Source organism: Homo sapiens, chromosome 22, assembly GCF_000001405.40.
Source record: "Homo sapiens chromosome 22, GRCh38.p14 Primary Assembly".
NCBI classification, from domain to species: domain Eukaryota; kingdom Metazoa; phylum Chordata; class Mammalia; order Primates; family Hominidae; genus Homo; species Homo sapiens.
Window position 1 is genome coordinate 38,077,370 of NC_000022.11, and position 7,402 is coordinate 38,084,771.

At 62.6% G+C, this 7,402-nt stretch overlaps 1 protein-coding gene and 1 long non-coding RNA gene across 4 annotated transcripts, besides 3 other annotated features; one reads left to right on the plus strand and one right to left on the minus strand.

The window, feature by feature from the left end:
* Nucleotides 1–767: 767 nt before the first annotated feature.
* SLC16A8 (solute carrier family 16 member 8) lies at nt 768–6,815 on the minus strand. Of its 3 annotated transcripts, NM_013356.3 has the most exons (6): nt 6,619–6,815; nt 5,673–5,992; nt 5,291–5,512; nt 4,520–4,663; nt 3,471–4,310; nt 768–1,335 (listed from the first exon to the last, which is right to left on the minus strand). In NM_013356.3, the coding sequence occupies exons 3-6, from the start codon at nt 5,502–5,504 to the stop codon at nt 1,019–1,021; spliced, it is 1,515 nt and encodes a 504-aa protein (NP_037488.2). In that variant the 5' UTR covers nt 5,505–5,512; nt 5,673–5,992; nt 6,619–6,815; the 3' UTR covers nt 768–1,018. The 3 variants fall into 3 exon arrangements, with proteins under 3 accessions (NP_037488.2, XP_016884174.1, NP_001381060.1); XM_017028685.2 differs by lacking the exons at nt 5,673–5,992; nt 6,619–6,815 and having other exon boundaries at nt 5,291–5,668; NM_001394131.1 differs by lacking the exons at nt 3,471–4,310; nt 4,520–4,663; nt 5,291–5,512; nt 5,673–5,992.
* On the plus strand, nt 1,272–2,998 carry LOC105373027 (uncharacterized). The gene is made up of 3 exons (XR_938249.3): nt 1,272–1,364; nt 1,485–1,578; nt 2,244–2,998. It is a non-coding gene; the product is annotated as an uncharacterized LOC105373027 (long non-coding RNA).
* Nucleotides 3,177–3,958: an enhancer, noted in NCBI's record as "H3K27ac-H3K4me1 hESC enhancer chr22:38476553-38477334 (GRCh37/hg19 assembly coordinates)". NCBI's record gives its function as "activates a minimal SCP1, AML or CMV promoter by ChIP-STARR-seq in naive H9 embryonic stem cells {active_cell/tissue: H9 hESC(naive)}" and the evidence as "EXISTENCE:reporter gene assay evidence [ECO:0000049][PMID:30033119]".
* Nucleotides 5,274–5,323: a silencer, noted in NCBI's record as "silent region_13706". NCBI's record gives its function as "represses an Ori minimal core promoter by ATAC-STARR-seq in GM12878 lymphoblastoid cells {active_cell/tissue: GM12878}" and the evidence as "EXISTENCE:reporter gene assay evidence [ECO:0000049][PMID:35858748]".
* Nucleotides 6,299–7,080: an enhancer, noted in NCBI's record as "H3K27ac-H3K4me1 hESC enhancer chr22:38479675-38480456 (GRCh37/hg19 assembly coordinates)". NCBI's record gives its function as "activates a minimal SCP1, AML or CMV promoter by ChIP-STARR-seq in naive and primed H9 embryonic stem cells {active_cell/tissue: H9 hESC(naive and primed)}" and the evidence as "EXISTENCE:reporter gene assay evidence [ECO:0000049][PMID:30033119]".

Consider the following 7,402-nt stretch of genomic DNA (forward strand, 5'->3'; position numbering starts at 1 on the left):
TACATCGCGTCTTGCCAGATTCGTGCACCTGGATCCAAGTGCAGGAGGTCAGATGTCAAAGTGTGAGGGAGATCGTGGGACGCTCCGTGGGGAGAAGGCAGGTGCTGGGATCAGCAGATGACCTGGCTGCCAGCACAGTGTCCACAGCAAAAGCCCCTGGCCCTGGACACCCAAGTTTATCCTCTAGTGGGAGAGATGCCCTCTGGGAAGGTGAGGGGACATGGCCACCTCGTGGAAGGCAGCAGGGCCCATGGTGTTACTGAGCGCCTGGTCCCACCCTCCCCAGGACCCCAGGGGACGGAGTCGTATGCTCAGCCTCCAGTGAGCAAGGAAGTCAGCGGGGCTGGGATTCAAACCGACCCTGACCCTGGGAACTGTGAGTCTTCTCAGACCGCTCGGGCCCCCCGCCTGCAGGCAGACCCCAACCTTGAACCCTAGTTGCTGCCAACCCCTCGTTCCCTCCACGGGAAAAGGCAGATGCCAGCGAGGGGGCCTTCAGCAGACAGCTCTGAGCAGTGGGGCTGGGCAGGAGCCAGGCACTGTGCCCACCCAGCCCTGTGCCCCTGAGCCCTGTGCCCGCCCAGCCCCTTGTGTCTCTACACCTGGGAACGATGGGTCTCTTCATCCATCTCTGACGCTTCCTCCCAACACTGCCCACCTAGAAGCCTGCTTAGGGGGCCTGGAGAGAGACCTCCCAGACTCCCTCCCACCACCCTGACCCCCAACTCAGGTGGCAGCCGGAGCCTGGGCGGAGGAATAGAACCTTCTGTCGTTCAGCTGAGCTTTATCACCAGTTTCCTGTTGCTCCATAGCAGCTTCACTGGCGATGGGGCAGGGCCTGGCGGAACTTGGGGCACAGATGAGGGAGGCAGTTCCCAGACACCCAGGGGATCAACTGGAGCCCAGACGTGGACCCCGGGAGTGACCACCCCAGACCAGCCTCCCAGCGTACCAGGCTCTCTGAGACAAGAAGCTGTGTTCCCAAGTCACTGGGCCACCCCACCCAGAGCACCCTGAGTTATACAGACTCGGCAGCCAGCCTCGGCCTCGCCTCTATTTCTGGTTCTGTGGGCTCGCCCCGGGCGCTGAGCACCTCCAGGGCCTCCAGGTTGCCGGGTTCCTCTGCAACAACAGGCAGGGGCTCAGAGTCCCCTTCAGCCTCAGCGTCCTCAGTGTCACTGGCTCCGCCCTCAGTGCCTGGGCCTGACGGGGCAGCTTTAGCACAACGCAGGCAGCAGTTGGTGGCGACAGCCATGAAGACCCCAGCCAGGGCCACCTCAGAGCCGGCCAGGTAGAAGATGATCTCATAGTTCTTCAACACATCCACCAGGCGGCCTGGGGAGGAGGAGGAAGAGGAGGGAGAGGTAAGGTCCTGTGGGGTCCTCCCCTCACTCTCCTGCACTCTCAGGTCAAGGGTGGTGCCACTGACTTGGTGAGGCTCCTGGGTGACACACACATGCCCACTCTTTATTCCTGTTTTACAGATGTAAAACCTCATGTGGATTCTGCCATTTGAAACCTTAAAAATGTCACTTGCTGTCCCTGGACCTCAATTGCTTAAGTGATATGTGGCTTCTGGTGAGGCGTCCCCTCCACCCTCTGATTCAAGCCCCACAAGTGTCCTGTGACTTGCTTGGCAGTGGGGTATCTGGGGTGGGAGCGGGGAGGGGGCCCTGGGCTTAGCTCTGCCCTCCTGGGGGCCTCCACCTCTTGCTGTTGCCATGTAAATGCCCTGGTCCTCAGGGGCTTGGCTTAGTCCTCCCACCCCTCTGTCCCAGGAGGCCCATGAGCATCCCAGACCAAGCCATCATCGGCACAGGTGGGGCTTGTGGGCCAGTAACTCATTTCCTTCTCTATTTCTCAAGGCTTCTATCCCTTGTAGATACTACTTTCAAACTCAGGAAAGTCTCTCTTTTATTATGTTTTTTTTAGGGATGGGGTCTTGCTGTGTTGCCCAGGCTGGTCCTGAACTCCTGAGCTCAAGGGATCCTCCCGACTTGGCCTCTCAAAGTGCTGGGATTACAGGTGTGAACCACTGCACCTGGCTTCAGGAATTTTCTTATTCTTTTGAGACAGGGTCTCACTCCATTGGCCCAGGCTGGAATGTAGTGGTGCCATCTTGGCTCACTGCAACCTCCACCTCCTGGGCTCAAGCCATCCTCCCACTTCAGCCTCCTGAGTAGCTGGAACCAGAGGTGCACGCCACCACACCTAGCTAATTTTGTTTTGTTTTGTTTTGGTAGAGACAGGGTTTTGCCATGTTGCCCCGGCTGGTTTCAGACTTCTGGCCTCAGCCCCCCAAAGCGCTGGGATTACATGCATGAGCCACTACACCCGACCAGGAAAATCTCTTAATTGCAAGTATTTCCCCCTAAAGTGTGGTTTGTCTGTGTGCTCCACCCTCTCTCTAGGTCATTCTCCTCACCCCATGCACCTCCTCTGCCCATCAGATCCATCCAGATTCACACAAGAAATGGAAGACGGTTCCTTGAGGCCTGGGCAGGCTGGTTTTGTGGCCTGCCCACACACTGGCTCAGGGACTTTGCCGTTCTCACTGGGTCAGGTGGGATGACAGAGCTCAGTGAGGGCACTCGATTAGCCCAGCCCTGAAGGAAGGACGAGCAGCTCACCCCATCTCAGTGCAGCCTGCGGCCCCCGCAAGGTGTCCTCCCTGGTTACTGCACCATCTCACAGCCCTCTAGCCTCTGGGACTCAAAGGCAGGCTCCCTTGCTGTTTCAAGATAACTTGACAACCCAGGAAAACCCTCATGTCCCCCACTCCCACCTTTCCAATTTTGGTTCCTGCCTTGCTTGCATAAGGACGCTGTTCCCCCCCAACAAGCCCTGCCCATCCATGCTGTGCCTTCACCTGGGGGATATTCCAGGAAGCCTTCCCTGACCACCCTCATGACGATGACTTCCTAAGGGTGACGGTGACAAGTGCCAGCAGGCCATCTGCACAGTGAAAGACACCAGTGCTTCTCCCCATCTGCCCGCTGAGCACCCCCACTCTGTTTCTGGCCCCAACACCAGTTTCCCAAAGATACTGTCCCCATTCCAGTCACCATTCTAGATGCACCATTCTAAAGGCGTGGGCATTTAGCAGCAGGTACACTGAGGCTCTCATTCTGGGGCTGCAACTTGCGCTAAGGCTTTGTGCCTCAGTTTCCTCATCTGCAAAATGAGAATAAGCACCTGCGCTCCAGATGGCCTTGTGCCAACTGCTTGGGATGGCAGATCTGGCCAGCTACCAGTGTTGCTTTCTTCCCTGCACCTTCCTGGGCTTTTCTGTCCTCACCCAGAGCGGGCGGTCCGGCTTGGAGGAGGGACTAACTGGCCGTGAAGGGGAGTCCACCCACCCGACTGCCCCTTCCCCTCATCCCTGGAAGTTCCATCTGAGACAGGGGGATGGAGCTTCCCTGGGTCTAAGGGGCACTAGGCTCGCCACCCCCTCTTCCTTCGGGGCGCACCGGCAGAGGGCGGTCCGATGAGCACAGCCGCGGCCTCCACGAGCAACACCAGGCCCAGCGCACTGGGGAAGCGGGGCGCGCCCACAGCCGCCATGAGCACCTCGAACTGCAGCGCGCCCACCATGCCGTAGGAGAGGCCGAAGGCGACGCAGAAGGCGACGAGGGCGCCGTAGGAGCGCGCGCGTGCGCTGCTCAGGTCTGTGAGCCCATTGGCCAGCAGGGCCAGGCTGAACAGATACGGGACGTGCGGCCGCAGACGCGCCAGGCCCGCCAGGGCGCCGCACGCCGGGCGCGCCACGATGTCCACGAAGCCCACGATGGACAGCAGGAAGGCGGCGTCGGTGTCGGGCACGCCCGCGTCCTTGGCGTAGTTCACCAGCAGGATGGCGGGGACGAAGAGCCCGAGCGCCATCAGGAACTTGGTGACGGCGTACACGGCGAAGGCGCGGTCGGTGCACACTGCCAAGTCCAGCAGGCGCCGGCGGGGCCGGACCCTGGGGGATGCCTCGCGCAGCTGCAGCCCCGCACCGTCAGCCTCCGCCTCGCCCGGAGCGTCCCCGGCGCGGTCGCCGGCGCTGTCCCTGCGCGGTCGCGGGCCCGGCCCGGGCGGCGGCCTCATGACAGCCCCGCAGGCGCAGCAGTGCAGCAGGAGCCCGCCGAGCAGCAGGAAGCCGCCGCGCCAGCCGAAGCGCTCCAGCAGCTGCTGGCCGAGCGGCGACAGCGCGGACAGGAACACGGGGCTGCCCGCCGCCGCCAGCCCGTTGGCCAGAGGCCGCCGCCGCTCGAAGTACAGCCCCAGCATGATGAGCGACGGCTGGAAGTTGAGGGCCAGGCCCAGGCCTGCGGGCGAGGCGGTGCTGTGCCGGGGTCCCCGGAGAGCCCCTCCCTGGCCCCCACAGGAGGGAGGGGCCAGGCCCGGGAACCCAGCAGATCCGGGAACCCAGCCGAGGGACTTCGAAGACTGTCCCTCATAGGGAAACCGAGGACAGATCTTGCAGCAAGAACCCCCGACCCCCAACCCAGCGGAGAGGAGACCAGGGGGCCCTCACCTGTGAGCACCCCAGCGGTCAGGTAGAGCTCCAGGAGGCGCGTGGCAAAGGAAGCTAGGATCATGCCCGCGGAAGCCAGCAGCCCACCCGCCAGCATCACCGGGCGACAGCCAAAGCGGGTCACGAGGATGCTGGACACGGGGCCTGTGGGCAGGGCAGGGTCACCACCCGGGTCCCGGGATGGCTTGAGTCCTCTAAGGAATAAGGTCACCTCCGGCTCAGGGACACAGAGAGGAGGGCAGTGTCTGGCCAAGGTCACACAGCTTGGAGGGGACAGGCCAAAGAGACAGCATCCTGCGAGGGCAAGGCCCAGAGCACCCCATCCTGCGAACCCAAACCCCAAGCGGAGCGGGGGCTTCCGCACCCCTTTAACCTTCACAGCCTCCAAGTCCCGCCCTGGCACAGACTGGGATTCCTCCGCAGCCCCGCCTCCCAGGATGGGAACTCCAGCAAGCCCCCACCTACAGGTCAGGGCTGCGGGGAGGGGGAGTGCTTCTGTGGCTCTCAGCTTTCCTGCCTCTACAATGGGCGGGTGTGGTCTTAGAAGGGGCCCTCTGAGCTCGCAGGGCAGCCCCCTGGGCCGGCCCCGCCTCTGGCCGCTGTCTCCCTCCCGCCCTCTCTTCCCCTCTTTCTGGTGCCAGGGTTCCCACAGGCAGGAAGGGACTTCGGGGGCCACCCCGAGGGTCAGGGGGATGCTCAGGGGCTCGGGTGTCTCCTGGTTCCGGATCCCAGGGGTCCCGGGGAGGCGGAGGGCCGGGCGGGGACACTGACCCGTGCCGTAGAGCATGGCTAGCATGATGGAGGACACCCAGGCCGTGTCGCTGTAGCCGGCGTCGAAGTCGCGCATGAGCGCGCGGAAGAAGACGCTCACGGCTTTGGGGAAGCCGTAGGCGAAGCCGGTGACCACAAAGCAGGCGCCCAGCACCACCCAGCCCCAGCCGCCGTCTGGGGGGCCCTCGCCCCGCCGGGGGCCGCCAGCGCCCATCGCTGCCTCTGTTGGGAGGGGGCGGGGACAAGAGGGAGGGGCTGGGCCAGCAGCCTAGAGAAGGAGGGGGATGGAGACGAAGCATGGGGAAACTGAGGCACAGGGCTACCCACGTGAGGGTGGCTCAGGTCTGGGAACCAAAAGGGGAAACGGAGGTAGGACTCTCACCCCAAGTCTCCTTCTCCTGCAAAGGGCGCTGAAGGACGAGGGGAGGACGACGGGTCCCACCTGACTCTGCACCTCTGCAGGCTCCCTCTGAAGGACAACTGCTGGCCCCTCAGGGCCTCAGGTGGAAGGCGTCGGGAAGTGGAGCAGGTATGTGCCTGGAGGTGGGCGTCCAGCACCAAAGTCGCCCCGTACGCGTGAGGGTCTCGGGACAACAGAACAAACAGCAGAGGGGCAGATGCCGGCTGCAAAGGGCCGCTGTGCGTGATTTTCCTCTTTAGCCTTCCGCCATGTTCCTAATGTTTCTCAGTGATCACAAATGACTATTGTCATTAGAACATTAAGGGGACAAAAGCCACTTTCAACAGATATCAGCCAGGGGAGCTGAGTTCCCATGCATCTCAGCTCAGCCATGGATTCCCTCCCTGACTTGGGCCGGTCGCCTCCCCTCTCCCAACCTCCCTTTCCTCCGATGTAAGATGGGTGATTGATCACCCCGAGGCCAGCTGGGAATCTTGCGGGAGAGGAGTCAGGTCTCTGGCTTCTGCCAGACAGGTAGGAACCTTAGCAGCACTGAGAGAGTGGCCTTCTGCCCTCCAAACCTCAAACCCTCTATATGAAAAGAATGGCTCCAAAGCCTGTCTCATTCCTGGGGCTCCACCCGGGGCCCTCACAGCAGTTACAAGCGCCCCCATAACAGATGAGGAGGGTGTACTCAGAGACAGGTGCACCAGGAGCCGGGGGCTGGGGATAGCCTCCTGCCCTCCTGCCTGGAGTGTCCCTCCTGGCACTGGGCAGTGCCACCACCCCCAGGGTATCCGGGACTCTGCCCCTCCTCCACTAGGACCAGGTTGTGGCTTTTCCTGCCTGTTGTCCTCTTGTCACAGGGGCAGCCACTTGAAGGTGGAGACAGGAGGGTGATCCCAGGCAGCCCTCACATCACACTCACCTGAGCCTGCCTCGTGGGTTTGGGGGTCCAGCCTCACATCTCCTGAGGCCTGCAGGGAGGGGCCGCCGCCGCAGCTCCCGGTGAAGCTTACCCGGATGGGGGCTGCCAGACACCCCAGCTTCCCACCAGCCTGGGCTGAGCCTCTGGCCGACTCCCGCCTGACGCTCCCTGCCCCAGGCCTGGAGCTTAGAGTGTGTGCCCCCACCACACCTCACCCCTGCTAAGAGGCTTTTGTCCAGGAGGGGAGAAGAGACTGGGAGCCCCAGGCCAGGCTGGGCCTCGGCGGTGGGCTCCCTGTCCCAAGCCAGTCCAGGAGGGAGGAAGAGAATCCCTGTGCCTCCTGGAGCCTGGGGTGGTAGACACAGAGACCTTGCCCAGGGGGTCCTAGTCTGGTGCTGGGGGCACAGCCCTGCCCTGAAGAGACCCCAACGGTTCTAATCACCTCAGTGCCTCATCTGCCCCCGCCCCAACCCCCCGCCCCAGGCCACATTCCAGGAGGGGCTGGCAGCTTTCTCTAGAATGAAGCTAATCCACGCCTGTGCCTGGGAATGTGGGGGGGGGAGGGGCCAAAACAAAGGGTGCTGTGTCCAGGCCGCCTGAGGGCAGCTTGCTGGTGGTCCCAGCCCTTGGCCACTGCCACCTCTCCCCTGACCCGAGCAGCCGCTACTTCCTAGGAAACCCACAGGTCGAAATGAGAGCAGGTGGAGATGGGGGCTGCAGCGCGAGGGCTTTGGGGCAGCCCTAAAGAGTTCTCCAAACAAACAAACAAGGGGCTGGGAGTGAG

Excerpts from the sequence above, each read along its gene's own strand:
- SLC16A8 (NM_013356.3), bottom strand. The coding sequence starts at position 5,504 with ATGGGCGCTGGCGGCCCCCGGCGGGGCGAGGGCCCCCCAGACGGCGGC. Across the intron at positions 4,664-5,290 it reads AGCCATGCTCTACGGCACGG|GCCCCGTGTCCAGCATCCTC; the intron begins GTCAGTGTCCCC and ends CCCTGCCCACAG. Across the intron at positions 1,336-3,470 it reads CATCGGACCGCCCTCTGCCG|GCCGCCTGGTGGATGTGTTG; the intron begins GTGCGCCCCGAA and ends CCTCCTCCCCAG.